Below are 15,286 nucleotides of genomic sequence, written 5' to 3' on the forward strand. Positions count from 1 at the left end.
ATAACATTTCTGGCCAGGTGCAGTGGCTCACGCCTGTAATCCCAGCACTTTGGGAGGCTGAGGTGGGTGGATCACGAGGTCAGGAGTTCAAGACCAGCCTGACCAACATGGTGAAACCCTGTCTCTACTAAAAATACAAAAATTACCTGGGCGTGGTGGTGCACGCCTGTAATCCCAGCTACTCGGGAGGCTGAGGCCGAAGAATCGCTTGAGCCTGGGAGGCAGAGGCTGCAGCAAGCCGAGATTGTGCCACTGCTCTCCAGCCTGGGCAACAGAGCAAGACTCCATCTCCAAAAAAAAAAAAAAAAAAGAACATTTTCATCAAGGCAGGGAATTCCACCAGACGGCTCTGCTGCAGGCCAGCCTAAGTAACCCCAGACCCTCCTGGCTCTCCTGGGATTTGAACAGGAGTCCTCTGGGTGCCACATCTTTCCTGTAGGTGATTTTTTGGGGTTACTGGTATATTTTTGTGTATTTAAAATTTTTACTTTTGATTCCATTGGTAGTAGCTTATATTTTCCTAGAAAATCATTCATCTGTTTTTTCTAATCATTCATCTTATCAAGACTTTTGCATAGTATCTTCTTGGATCTCTGTCCTCTCTGTTCTCCTTAGGAGTGTTTGTTGTGTGTTTTCCCCTAATGTCTCAAGCTGGCATCTCAGAAGTTCATTTAATTTTGTATTTATCTCTTTCAATTCTTTCTATTCTTTGGAATTTGGTGTGCATTTTACACACACACTGCATCTCAACTGGATTCATTACATGTCGTGTTCAGCAGCCACGTGTGGCTGGTGGCTGTCAGAGCGGGCAGGGCAGCTCTAGAGAGTATAAAGTTCAGTACAAATCTTTTCATCCAACCTAATTATTTTTTTCTGATTCCCCATCTTCCTGCTGGGTCCCACTCCTGTAGGATAGTGGAGTGCGCATGGCAACGTCTCCTCTTGTTTCTGACAGATTCTGCTCTATTTATTTATTTATTTTTTCTGAGGTGGAGTCTCACTGTTGCCAGGCTGGAGTGCAGTGGCGTGATCTTGGTTCACTGCAACCTCTGCCTCCCAGGTTCAAGCGATTCTCCTGCCTCAGCCTCCCAAGTAGCTGGGACTATAGGCGCACACCACCACGCCCAGCTAATTTTTGTATTTTTAGTAGAGATGGGGTTTCACCATGTTGACCAGGCTGGTCTCGAACTCCCGACCTCAGGTGATCTACCTGCCTTGGCCTCCCAAAATGCTAGGATTACAGGCAAGAGCCTCTGTGCCCTGCCTTCTGCTCTATCTTTTTGTCTAGTTCATAACAGTTCCCAGCCATTACCTTTTCACTGTAAAGTGTACCTCTTGGGAACAGCCTTTCTAATCATAAGACACAACATCCGAAGATTAGGTTTAAATAAATGAAAGTACTGAAAGATTTGCTATCAAAATGGAAAAAGGATTTTTATCCAAAAAGAAGATGCCATGGACCAAGTGAGAGGGCACATAAGCCCTTGATAATGTCAGCTTTTTGCCACGCACTGTCTTCAGCTCCTTATCTGTGTTATTTATTCAATCTGCACAAGCCTGAGAGGTAGGTACTAGGATTTCCATCTTACAGATAAGGCACAGAGAAGTTAAGTAATTTGCCTAAGGTCACACAGCTAAGAAGTAGCGGAGCTGAGAAACCTAGGCAGTTGGGCACCAGTGGCTGTGCACAAATTGCGTCCCTTATATTATCGTGCAGGAGAAAACATTTGAAAATATTAAAAAAAAGAATTAATATCCAGAAGGTACAAAAAGCTGCTACAAATCAAGAAGATAAATGTAAAGAACCCAACAGAAAAGGGGGAAAAGATAAGAACAGGCATTGATAGATAAAGCAATGGAAACAGGCAATAAACATGTGAAAAGATGCTCAAATTTACAAGTCATCAAGAACGGGCAGGGTAAGACAAGATACAATGTTTCACCCAACAGGTTAGAAGTTTGACAGCAGGGCTAGGGAGGGTGAGTGCAAATGGCCGCTCTTGCACTGCTGGTAGCAATGTGACACTTGTACTGCCTTTTTGAATGGCAATTGGGCAGAGTCCATCACCATTTAAAATGCACTTCATTCGGGACCAGCAGTTCCACTTCCAGGCTACAGCTGGTCTCAGACGCGCACAGAGATGTTCGCACACACAAACTCTCCTGAGCAACCTCCACTCAACCCACTGGCTGAATACCCCATACTCTCTGCTACCCGCCAGGCTGTGCAAGGATCCACCAGGCGCTCAGGGCAGAGGCCACCTGCCCGCCTCTCTCCCCATCTGGTGAGGATGCACCCACTGTCACTTGCATTCCTCGAACTTATTCAAGCCAGTGGTACCTGTGATGCAGTTGTATCATTTAATGATAAAAACCAGTGAATTCTCAGTGGAAAGGGAGTTGTTTTTATGAAAACTGAGCTGAAAGCTCTGAAGAGTCCAGGGAAGACAAGTTGCTAAAAACCATCACCAAAACCAAGCTTCTACTGAATGTGCTAAAACTAAAAGAAGTGGAAAACACTGTAAAAATCTATAAGGATTTTGCCCTTAGTCTGCATAGGTGTCTAAACTCCAAAATTAGATGGTGTATTATGGCTGTGTCTAATCAGGAGAGATAAAATAGATAAAGCTGGTCCTCCAGTGAAAACCTATGATCCAAGAAATGGGCTGGACACATTTGCATTGTTTGTATTTTTTTAAACAATGAAAGTGCATAGAGGAGTTACGTATTTAATTGTAAAACTTTTCTTTTTTTTTTTTTCTGAGATGGAGTCTTGCACTGTCGCCTGGGCTGGAGTGCAACGGTGAGATCTTGGCTTACTGAAACCTCTGCCTCCCGGGTTCAAGTGATTCTCCTGTCTCAGCCTCCCGAGTAGCTGGGATTACAGGGACCCGCCACCACGCCTGGCTAATTTTTTGTATTTTTAGTAGATGAATAAGATGACAAAACAAGATGACTCTGTTCACTTGGGTAATTTTTCTTGCCCTGAATTCTACTCTGTCTGATAATATAATGGGTTTAGATTTCTAATCAATTGGATAATTTCTGTTTTTATTTTTATTTTTTGAGACAGAGTCTTGCTCTGTCACCCAGGCCGGAGGGCAGTGGCACCATCTCGGCGCACTGCAACCTCCACCTCCTGGGTTCAAATGATTCTCCTGCCTCAGCCTCCTGAATAGCTGGGACTACAGGCACCCGACACTATACCCGGCTAATTAATTATTTTACTTATTTATTTATTTATTTGAGACAGAGCCTCACTCTGTGGCCCAGGCTGGGGTGCAGTTGCGCGATCTTGGCTCACTGCAACCTCTGCCTCCTGGGTTCAAGGGATTTTCCTGCCTCAGCCTCCTGAGTAGAGTAGCTGGGACTACAGGTGGGCGCCACCACACCCAGCTAATTTTGTATTTTTAGTAAATACGGGGTTTCACCACATTTGCCAGGCTGGTCTCGAACTCCTGACCTTAAGTGATCCACCCACCTCGGCCTCCCAAAGTGCTGAGATTACAGGCATGAGCCACTGTGCCTGGCTTACCTGGCTAATTTTTGTATTTTTGTAGAGATGTGGTTTTGCCATGTTGGCCAGGGTGGTCTTGAACTCTTGACCTCAGGTGATCTGCCCACCCCGGCCTCCCAAAGTGCTGGGATTACAGGTGTGAGCCACCACACCGAGCCTCAATTGAAGAATTTCTGTCTTTTAATGGAGGAGTGTAAGCCGTTTGCATTATTGTAACGGATTTGTTTGCTGTTAAATTTGCCACTAATTTGGTGCTGTTTGTTTTTCATGCTTCTTCACTGTTTGCTCTCCATTTATGACAAGGGCCCTTTCTCTCCTTTTAGCTTTGCTTATGTTGTAAAAGGTTTCTAACATGTGTTTAGGTTCTACTAGGATTTATTTCTAAGTTTTTTTTTTTTTTTTTTTTTTTTTAGACGGAGTCTTGATTTGTCACCCAGGCTGGAGTGCAGTGGCGTGCTCTTGGCTCACTGCAACCTCCCGAGTTCAAGCGATTCTCCTACCTCAGCCTCCCAAGTAGCTGGGATTACAGGCGCCTGCCACAGTGCCCAGCTAACTTTTGTATTTTTAGTAGAGACTGGGTTTCACCATCTTGGCCAGGCTGGTCTCGAACTCCTGAGCTCGTGATCCACCAGCCTCTGCCTCCCAAAGTGCTGGGATTACAGGCGTGAGCCACCGCACCCAGTCTTATTTCTAAGTTTCACATCAGAAGTTTTATTAAAAAATAAATCAATGTAGCCATTTACAAATCACTGCTCACAAGTTAGGAAGGATGTCAAAGTCTAAACATTTTCCATACTCTACTGGGCACAACACCCAGGTGAAGCCTAGGTGGCCCTTCAAAAATCCACTTTTATGAAGCCTTCCCTAGTAGCAACTCCATTCATCGCAAAACCCAAGTCTCAGGTATATGATGCTGGTCAGGAACAAGTCACAGTTTGGGTCATTAATAGTATATATAGGCTACTGTTTCATGTTTTAAATAAACAAGAGCAAATGTTTCCATAGAATCTAGCACAGGAATATCGGGGGGTAGGGAAAGGCAGGACTTTTGGAACCACAGCTGCCACAAGAAACAAGGACAAGGATGGGCTTGGACAAGCGCGAGGAATGCAGGTGAGTGCGGTGGGAGTGAGACGGAGCGGAAGAGGACACAAATGATGGAACTGGGTGGACAAAGTGCTTATTAAAAACCAAATCTCTTTTTTTTTTCCCTTCTGTACCTACTTTTTAAATTTCACAATTAACACAAACTTGCATATTCACAATTTCTCTCCACCATTCTTCCTGTTTACTCCTGACCATATGCTTGTTTCTCTATACCACAAATTTTCCCTTAATACTCAAATAATCTTTGTTCCACTAAAACAAACACTTAAATTTCTTATTCATTTGTTACTGGTTTTAACTGATTATTTCTCCCTGCTAGCAACAAACCATCAAGCAACTCAACGATTTTGCCTCAGCCTAATTGATAGTCACCGAAGTCCACCTGAACCATCAAATGAAGGGGCCAGAGACACGAATCCCAGATTTCTGCAGCATTTCAGGAGCAGATGGGCAAGCTGAGGGACTTCCTTCAGAGACCCCATTCATCCGAAGTTCAGACAGCCCCAAAAGAAAGTGGTGGGATAAGATCGTGAATGCAAAGAGATATGGCAGACCTCCGCCAACCACAGATAACTGGAGCTATGGCATAGTCACAGTGAGCTCAGCAGTGCCTCGTGCCGTGGCATTCACGCGTGACGGAAATACACAATGATGATAATGAAGGGTGGAAAAACTGCGATCCTACTATCTCATCAGACAGCAATGCTTCAGACGCTCAATGTTGGGGGTGAGCTGTCCTAGAAGGTAGCTGGGTGTCTCTTGCTGCCTGTGAAACCATGTTTATTTTTCTGCATGTTCTAGATGGACAACCCTGCCAGCGATTCCTCTGGTGAACCAGCCAGGGAACCTCACCCCCCAGAGGAAGCCTCACCCCCAGCAGTGAGGGCCACCCCGGTGTGCTGTGGGGGAGCCCCCGCCCCTCGGCGCCTGTTACCTCCTGCAGCTTAATCTCCTCGGGCTGTAGGATCTCAAGCACCCCGCTGCTCCGGATCTCGGGAAGATCCTGCCAGAGGTTGAACCTTGAGTGGGGGTTACTGAGCAGGCAGATCTGGGGCAGAGTCTTCCTCTCTGGTGGGCTGGCCGGCTCCTCCTCCTCCTCCTCTTCTTCTTCCTCCTCCGGGGTGTCCTCACTGGCCGGGGACCCATTGGTATTGTCTTCTATTTCTGCATCCTGTTGCCTCCTGGTTTCGATTTCTTGGAGAGTCGATTTATCTCGGTATTCCTGATACAGGAGCCCTGAAATCAAAGAGTTGTAAAAAAGAAAAGGAAAAGATCTCAGATGACAATCATTAGAAATCCCTAAGTCAAGGCTTCGTGTTCTTATCAAGGGTGGCTGCTGTGTCCAGGAATACACAGTGCAAGCCAGCCCTGCACCCATCTCAGCGGCAGGCTCCAGGCCACGGGATACACTGCCATCGTCCTCATTTCTTGGGAAAGACCAGCATGCTTATGTTTTTCCCCAAAACATAAAGAAATGCCCGAATGGACTCAAAATCCAATATATGCTTTCCCCACACACACTTGGCAAACAAGAACCTAGAACCTGATGCACCCACCACCAAGTTGATGGGAATGTCCCAACTGTGTCTCATTATCCCAGCAGGGTAATTTCCATAGCCCTCAACGTTTCAATATTCAAACTCAGGAATATTCATTTGTGCAGTGGGAGTAGCTATAAATTCTCATTTTGAAGGAAAAATCAGCATTTCATCAATCTTATGATTTAAAAAGGGAAACATTCCCTTTTTTGCTTTCACAGTTGCAGACTTCACTGACCAACTGTACTTGCAATGAATGCTTTCCAGTCTCTTAGGCGATTTGGGGGCGCAGCTGAATCAGCGCAAATGTAGCACCTCCAAAGGGATAACCCCATTTCTGATGTCCTGGCCTTGGGACACAGGGACTTCCTCTCTGCACAGGCAGCCATGTTGGGGTTGGGGGGTTGCCGTGGCTGGGTGGGATGGTGAGGGGTAATCCTGCCTGCTGCAGGCTGGGAGGAAAGGGGTCAGACCCCAGGGTCTTGTCTATGGTGCCACAGAGGCAGGAGTCTAGCCCAAGCGCAAGGGCTAGACAGAGCAAACACACTCTGTTCTACATTTTATTGTTTTAAAATTTATTTTGAGATTGGGCCTCACTCTGTTACCCAGGCTGGAGGGCAGTGGTGCAATCATAGCTCACTGCAGCCTCCATCTCCTGGGCTCCAGTGATTCCCCTGCCTCAGCTTCCTGAGTGGCTAGGACTACAGGTGTGTGTCACCATGGCCGGCTAGTTTTTCCTCTTTTTTTTTTTTTTTGTAGAGATGAGGACTTGCTATTTTACCCAGGCTGGTCTTGAATTCCTGGCCTCAAGCCTCAATTCCTGGTCTTGAATACCTCTCCCTTCAGCCTCCCCAGTGCTGGGATTACAGACGTGAACCCCTGTGCCTGGTCCTGTCTGCATTTGACAAGCATAGACTGGGAGAAACGGGCTGCAGCAGCTCCTTGGGAGAGCCAGGACGGAGGCTTGCACTGAAGGACTGGGAAGGGGATGAAGCCAAGTGCCTGATTCGGGGACAGTTACAAGATAGAATAACATTCAGGTGACCAGTGGGACGGCAGAGACCAGAGGCCCCACTGGAGGAGATGAGGGTCCGGCTGAGGGTGGCGTTGGGGTGGGGTGGATCGAGATGTACCCAGGCACCCAGGTGGAGGCCTCATGAGCAGCAGGATGTCCTGGTCTGGCACTTGGGATAGTGGCCGAGGCCCCTCGATATGTCTAACTATGAGACAAAGATGATTCCCAGAAAGTTGCAATAAGGATAAATATACCACTTGACAAGCACTTGCTCTTACAACGCAGTACAACTGTTAGCTATTATTCCTTCTTTATCTAATTGTTAAACATATCTAAACTGTAGAAAAAGGAAGAAAAGAAAAACAGACCACCTTCAAAATCCTGAATGAGGCTGGAGAAATTATATTCATGAACAGGAAGCTAGTAAGGCCGCCCTATGGATTAAATGACTTGGTTTCCATGCTCTATAACTCCAAATTACAAAGCCTTTCTGCCAAGGTAACCAGAGCATCCACTTCAGCAAGCTTAGAGCCCGTGCTTTTCCAACGATGCAACCCAGCCGGATACAACATGGAGTTGATTCGACAAAGGAATAAAAAAGAAAATCCAACTCTAAGCTAAATGCAACCCTGACTGAAGATCTATAAAGACAGGTCCGACGTCACCACCTCCATCAGTTCAATAACGAGTATAAGGTAGGCCGACTATTGCGACGTCAAGCTATCACCATCCTATGATTCTGACACTGCACTGCGGTTACAGAGGTTTAAAGAAACCAAGTTTCACAGGTTGACTTGGATTCACTTTTCAATGCATAGTGCAGCGTCTCCTACATAATAGGTACTCAACTACTTGTTGAACACCTTTTAAAAATGCAGTTTCCAAGGCTGGGTGTGGTGGTTCATGCCTGTAATCCCAGCACTTTGGGAGGCTGAGGCAGGTGGATCACTTGAGGTCAGGAGTTCGAGACCAGCCTGGCCAACATGGCCAAACTCCGTCTCTACTAAAAATACAAAAATTAGCCGGGTGTGGTGGCGGGTGCCTATAATCCCAGCTACTCGGGAGGCTGAGGCAGGAGAATAGCTTGAACCTGGGGGGCGGAGGTTGCAGTGAGCTGAGATCGCGCCACTTCACTCTAGCCTGGGCGAAAACAGCGAAACTCCATCTCAGAAAAAAAAACAAAAAACAAACAACAACAACAACAACAAAAAAGCAGTTTCCAAGCTTCACAAAAGTGTCTCACTTGGCATATTTTTGAAGGCTCAAAAATATGTCTTATGTGTGCTATAGTCGGCAAATCATGGGTGAATACTATCTTGAACATCTCACTGTGATACATATGCTGAAAAGAGACAAAAATATCAGCATTGTGGGTAGCTGGGTTGAAAAGAATAGTTCTGAAGTCACCCCATGGCAGACGCTATTGACTGCCTCTCCTGCACCCCCTCATGCCCCTCTCCCCGGTTGGCAGAGGAGGGCTTCTGTTTGAGTGCTGACCCATTCTATGCTCAGAGAAGTGAGTGAAGGTTGACTGATCAAAACCTACCACAAGGCCCAGTGCAGTGGCTCACGCCTGTAATCCCAGCACTTTGGGAGGCCGAGGCAGGCAGATCACTTGAGGTCAGGAGTTCGAGACCAGCCTGGGCAACATGGGGAAATCCTGTCTCTACTAAAAATACAAAATTAGCCAGGTGTGGTAGCAGGTGCCTGTAATCCCAGCTACTCGGGAGGATGAGGCAGGAGAATCACTTGAACCCAGGGGGTGGAGGTTGCAATGAGCCAAGATTGTGCCATTTCACACCAGCTTGGGTGAAAAAGCAAAAACCTACCATGACAGTTCCTTGCCCCTTGCTAGTAGTGGGTTAGACACAGGCACAAGGCATAGCCTGGCTGCAGTGGTGTGAGTGCTGGTGTCCCCCCAGATTCGTATGTTGGAACCTAATACCCAATGTGAGAGTTTTAAGAGGTGGGGCCTTTGAAAAGTGACTAAGACATGAGGGCACTGCCTCCGTGAGAGGGATTCATGCCTTCCCTTATAAAAGAGGTGGAAAGGGCCGGGCACAGTGGCTCATGCCTGTAATCCCAGCACTTTGGGAGGCTAAGGTGGGTGGATCACCTGAGATCAGGAGTTTGAGACCAGCCTGGCCAACATGGTGAAACCCCATCTCTACTAAAAATACAAAAATTAGCTGGGTGTGTTGGCAGGCACCTGTAATCCCAGCTACTCAGGAAGCTGAGGTAGGAGAATCACTTGAACCCGGGAGGAGGAGGCTGCAGTGAGCCGAGATTGCGCCACTGCACTCCAGTCTGGGTGACAGAGTGAGGCTCCATCCCCAAAATAAATAAATAAATAAATACATTTTTAAAAAGCTGTGGAAGGCAGCCGCCTGGCCCCTTCCGTCCTGTGAGGATGCACCAAAGGATGCACCATCTTTGAAGCAGAGATAGCCAGCCCTCAGCAGACGCTGAATCTGTTGGCACCGTGATCTTGGACTTCCCAACCTCCAGAACTGTAAGAAATAAACTTCTGTTGTTTATAAGCCATCTAGTATATGGTATCTTGTTACAGCAACTGGAACAGATTAAGATACTGGCCAAGGAGAGTAAGGGCACATCTTCTAAAGGCTTGTCAAAAAGCTGTCCCTCCCCAACAGACACTTGAAGACAAACTGCCCTTCCTGTTTCACACATGGCTCCCTGAGGATGTGATGCCTGGAGCTATGGCAGCCATCTTGTAACACAAGGCCCACCTGGAGGAGGCAAAGCAGCCAGGTGACTGTTTGGCTGAATGAACCAACTCTGGAACTTCCTACCTTTGGACTCATTAACTGAGATGAGACACTTTTGTTGCTTAAGAGCACTTTTTGTTAGATATTCTGTTACCTGCAGCCAAAGACTATCAATACAAGTAACCTTAGAGTCTTCTTAAAACTTCATACTTTTTTCTGGGGTATTTAGAATACAAATTTAGACACCAGTGTTTCTGGAGTTACTGTGTTACACAGTTACCTGATACAGTGTGTAACCATTTCTCATAACCTTTCATTTTTATTTGCCTTAAATTCAGATTACAAAACGAATAAGTTTTCTTTACCTGACGAACTATATTAACATATTAAATTTCTGTAGTCAATGTACTGTCAATAGATCAGGCTTTCCTATTTTATATATTGTACATTTAGTCGGCACAACTTTAAATGGAAATAAACTTTACCTGTAAAGGCTTGCACTTGCAATTACCTCCAAGTGGAACTGGCAGGCTCCACTTGGAGCCTTCATCCTGCTTTCCTTCCCCATTAATCATCTTAGGAAGCTGCCATCCTTTCCTAACACTTGGCAAAGAATTGCTGAACTCACAGAGCTGAAGGCAGCTGGGCTGCTGCAGGGATCCGCTTAGCACAGACCTCAAGTCTATGACAGGTGAGAAGAGGGCGGGGGCAGCCCTGGGCTGTCAGTCAACACTCTGTTGAGCTACTATGGGTCAGGCCCAGGAGCCAGGAAAAGACATTCACCAGGACACCAGCAGACACCTGCAGGGGGTAGCAGGAGGAAAGACTCAGAACATCAGATGCCCTGCTGCTTCCCAGATGAGCACAGTGACGCCCCAAACGACCAGGCACTAGAGCTCGGGACCCTGCCAGCCGGCTTCGGACTTCTGCCACCAGCCCAGCAGGTTCAGCCGTCTCCAAGAAAGACAGCTCCACACACCCACAGTGCAGAAGGGAGGCACGATCTCCTCCCCAACCTGGATGTCTTTCCTGGTAGTGACACTGATCTTAGCCAAAGAGGAGCCCTTTCAAGAGGGTGGAGGTCAAAGTCTCCAGCATATGCTAAGTCAGATGTGGCAGCGTGGCAGAGCTGGAAGAAAGCGGTTGTCAGGGGCCTTTGTTTTAAAATAAGGATTTTCTATGTGGCATCAGTTTCAGATCAGCCCCTCTCCATTCCCTCAGCAAACAAAGGGAAAAGCCACCACCACCACCACCACCCAGCCTGACACGTGGAGGGGGCCCACTGGGAACAAAATTCCGGAGTCAGCGCGGCTTAACAGCATGCAGTGTGCGCTCCACCCCCTCAGCTTCACAAGGGCTCAGCTCCTCTCCGGGCTCAGTTTAGAAAGATCCCTGCCAGGGAAGAGTGGGCTGCCCGGGAAAGGTCTCCCAAGCACGGGGTCTCCGGTGGCGATGGAAGCTCCACTTCCCCACTGGAGACACGTCCTGTCTGTCCAAGCATTTGGGACTGGAGGACAATAATTATATATCTAGGGAAGAAATTTTCCAAACCTAGAATTTTTATTTAACAGATAGACTGTCGGCTGCTCTGACAACAATGAAGAACGAAAAGACTTCTGGAACCATTTTCAGAGTAAGGGAACCTATATCATTCATTCACGGGTGCCTCTCCTGACGACATGAGAACTAGCTTGATGTCACTAGCGATTTTTTTTTTTTTTAATGCAAGTACTGAAGTTCTTGGGTCACTATTTGAATCCATTTTCCCTATTCACAGTGCTTCAGGTGCAGCTGTGTAGCAGTTGGACCACACAGGCTGAGCCTCGGCTTCCCTTCCAGGCCATATTCCTGGAGAGGCTTCCCTTCCTAAGCCAAGGGCCTCTGGGGCTCTTGCTTCCTCCCTACTTCGCCTTTCCTTTCCCTGTGCAAAGTTGGCCACCGCCTCCTCTTCTTGAATCGCACCAGGCTTTTCCCAGAACCCCCCTTCACACGCCTCCTCCTCTAGCCCAACTCTGCTCCCAACAGCCGGTTTGGCTTCCAGGTCTTCCTTGATGGGGGATAGTGGAGTCCTCCCCGCTGCACAGCTCAGCCGCGCTGCTTCATCCCTTCTTTCTGGCAGAAGTGATAAGGGGTCAGAGAGCCCTCCCACCAGACAAGAGCTGGGCAAATAGACCTCTCCGCAGAGAGCAGGACAGAAATGTTTGCTAAAGCCCACTTGTGCAGCGCTATTAAAATGCAGCAGTTTTGCCTGCGGAACCATTTAGAGCCAAACATGTCAAAAGCTTTCCTTACCCATGTCAGACGCAGTCCTTCGTATGAAACACAACGGCATCCCATGAGCAGGAGGACCCTCAGAGTCCTCCAGGGACCCGCGTTTCCCAAATAAAACCCGGTTACTGCGGAGACACCCACCTATTTGTTCAATGAGGTTTCTCCAGGAGTCGGCGGGAATGGGGTGGATCATCCGCAGGGCCTCGGTGAGCGTGGTGGGGCTGTCGGCCAGGGCCGGCCACTCCTCGGGCGTGGCCCCATTTCCCGGGGTGGAGGACGACTCACTGCCAGAGAGGGAGGAGGACAGGGGCTGGTTATTTTTAAGCAAGGATTCACCTCGGCTGGCTAGCGAGGGGCGTGCGCACAGGCGGCTGCTAGCCAGCCGGACCTTACCCGGGACCGTCCAGGGGCAGCGGCCGCAGCCAGCGCCGCCCCTCCCGGCCGGGCGGGCCCCAAAAGCCCTTTCTGTCACCGCACCAGGGCGCGACCGGGTGATGCATTTCCACACCAGCCCGCCCAAACCTCCATGGTTTTGGAGCTCCCGGGCAGGCGGTGGAAACTTGGCGCACCGTGCCCACTCTCCGGCGCCGCTCCGACAGCCCGACGGGTCCCGCGGCCAGGAAGCCACTCGGCGCCCCTCGCCGTCACTCGACCCCCGGCCCCTTTCGGACTCCGATCCTCCCGTCCCCAGGCCACACGGCGCGGAAAGGGGATGCCGAGCGGGACGCGCACGACCAGGGCGCCCAGGACGAGGGCGCTGGAGGAGACTCCGGGCAGGGACCGGGGTCCCAGGGGCCCGGGCCGGGGCTCAACACCCACCCGATGGGGTGCGGGCCCGACGGGGCCCGGGGGTGGGAGTAGGGGCGGCGGGGGCCCGCGGAGGAGGAGTGGGGATAGGCCGCGCAGGGGGTGCCCGGGACCCCGGGCGCAAGCTGGGAAAGAGGCACGCGGGGGCGGCGCGCCGGGGCCGGGACAGGCGCCCGTCCTCACCTGCCGGGCAGGTGTCCCGCCGCCGAGTCGCGCGCGTCGCTTTCCGAGGTGGAACTGTCGTGGTCCACGGCGCAGGCGGCGCTGAAGGCAGCGGCCAGCAGCTCCATAGGGTCGGCGGCGGGGCGGGTGCGGGGGCCGGGTCGGGGGCCACGCCGGGGCCCTGGGCTGGGTCGGGGGCGACTAGCGGGCTGCGGAGCGGGGTCGCAGCGCGCGCGGCTCGACCGGAGCTGCAGCCGCCGCCGCCACCGCTGCCGAGCACTCCCGCGGGCGGGCGCGCGCCTGGAGGCTCCCGGGGTTGCCACGGCAACGAGGGAGGCGGGAGGGGCGCGCGCGGCGGGGGCGAGGCCGGGCGGCGGCGGGGCGGGGGCGCCCGGGCTGGGCGCGACCCGGGCCCCGCGAGCGCCGACTGCGGGCTGGGGCCTGCCGCGGGCTCGCGCCTTCCTCCCCCGCGCCGCCGTGCCCCGACCCGGAGAGGGGCAGAGCTGCGGAGGCCCTGGAGCTGCGCCTTTGCCTGCCCCGCCCACTCCTCACGGCGGGGGAAGCCTGGAAGGGGCGGGCGAGGCCACCCTCGGCTCCCCAGTGCCCGCAGACCTCCGCCTTGCCCACGCTGGGCACCCCCTGCGGTCTCCCGCAGGGTCGCAGCTCGGCGACCCGCTCTGAAGCTCCGAGCCCGGCCTCGGGGAATGTGTCCCCGCTGGAGGGGGTCTCCGTCTTGTCTCTGCTCCAGGCGGAGACTGGGGTCTCAGGGGCTCCTTGCAAGCCCGCTCCTGAGCCTCGCGGTGGGGAGGGGGCCGGCGCGGAGGTCTTTCCCGGGCGAGTCTGGTCGCAGGACGAGCCACGCTCAGCTACGCACGACCCTGGCGGGTCTGGGATGGGTTCGGGGGCACCAGAGGAGGAGAAACCAAGTGCCCGAAACCTCTCCTGGGTTGCCCTGCCCGGTGACATCGACTCCTGGACTCTGCGCCTTCGCGTTAGCTGGGTCAGTCCGCTCGCGGATCAGAAAGAGCAGAAAGGACAGTCGGAAGAGCGAGGCCTGGAGGTGCCTACGGGCCGAGCCAAGCCGCCCTCTGCTCAGGGATCATGCTGTCTGCTCAGGTGTGGCGAGGATATCTAGCAAGATGCCCCCCGCCTACCCTCGCGAAGGCCCCTGGCGCGCTGCCCGGTGTCCTTTTCCGGAGGCCAGCCGGCTCACCTGGGTGGGCCCTTGGGTGACCGCGGCCTGCGCCTGCAGCCGGGCCTGTCCTTTTTACGGCCCTGAGGAAACCCCAGGGGCAGGGGTGGAGTGCGGAGCATAGTCCCCCGCACGCTCCAACCCACCCGGCATTTGTTTAAATTAGCAAATTCTTCGTTGGGGGGGATGCAAACATTCCTGGTGGCAGCGGTGCAGTTACTCGTTAATTGTTTGGCTTTAATGGATCCTTAACCAGTCTTGAATAAGGCAGGTGTGATCAAGGGAGGGTTGGGGAGGAAGCTGAGAAGCATTAAGCTTTTTGCCTGGAAGGGAGCTCTCCTCCCCACGTGGTCTGACTTCCCCAGCTTTGACTCTAGAAAAGGGTGTTCAGGTAGACTCAAAGCCAGTCTCTAAAGCTGCCACTTAGCCCTGGTGCCAGAACGGGCAGGTCTGATCTCTTCATGCCCTTTGGGGCCAGAACGGGCAGGTCTGGTCTCTTCATGCCCTTAAGGCCTGAGAATATTCGAGACAACCATCTGGTCTTTTCCCAAGCCAAGCACCGCCCTTCCTTGACTCACTCCCATGGACCCAGGTATCTCCAGGCAGCCACCTCCTGCCCTTAGTGTGTTGCTCTGCTCACTGGCCATCTCCATCTGGCCATCCCACATCTTAGGCTGTCCTGGCTGCTATAACAAAATACCATAGACTGGGTGTGATGTGGTTCGGCTGTGTCCCCACCCAAATCTCATCTTGAATTGTAGCTCCTATAATTCTCACGTGTTGTGGGAGGGACCCAGTGGGAGGCAATTGAATCATGGGGGTGGTTTCCCCCATATTGTTCTCCTGGTAGTGAATAAGTCTCACAAGATCTGATGGTTTTATAAAGGGGAAACCCCTTTTGCTTGGATCTCATTCTCTCTCTTGCCTGCTGCCATCTAAGACGTGCCT

The 15,286-nt window shown here is 51.3% G+C and overlaps 1 protein-coding gene across 4 annotated transcripts in view; it reads right to left on the bottom strand.

Moving 5' to 3' along the window:
* Window positions 1–15,286, bottom strand: part of NGEF (neuronal guanine nucleotide exchange factor) — a 134,556-nt gene that overhangs the window by 36,025 nt on the left and 83,245 nt on the right. For 3 of the 4 annotated variants that reach the window (NM_019850.3, XM_011510923.4, XM_047443880.1), the window contains 2 exons: window positions 12,319–12,461; window positions 5,559–5,860 (listed from right to left, as the gene is read on the bottom strand). In NM_019850.3, coding sequence (NP_062824.2) covers window positions 5,559–5,860; window positions 12,319–12,461 — 445 coding nt within the window. Of the gene's footprint in view, window positions 1–5,558; window positions 5,861–12,318; window positions 12,462–13,167; window positions 13,427–15,286 lie in introns of those variants that run through there. The other variant, NM_001114090.2, reaches the window with a different exon arrangement.

This window comes from Homo sapiens, chromosome 2 (genome assembly GCF_000001405.40).
Source record: "Homo sapiens chromosome 2, GRCh38.p14 Primary Assembly".
In the NCBI taxonomy this organism is placed as follows: Eukaryota; Metazoa; Chordata; class Mammalia; order Primates; family Hominidae; genus Homo; species Homo sapiens.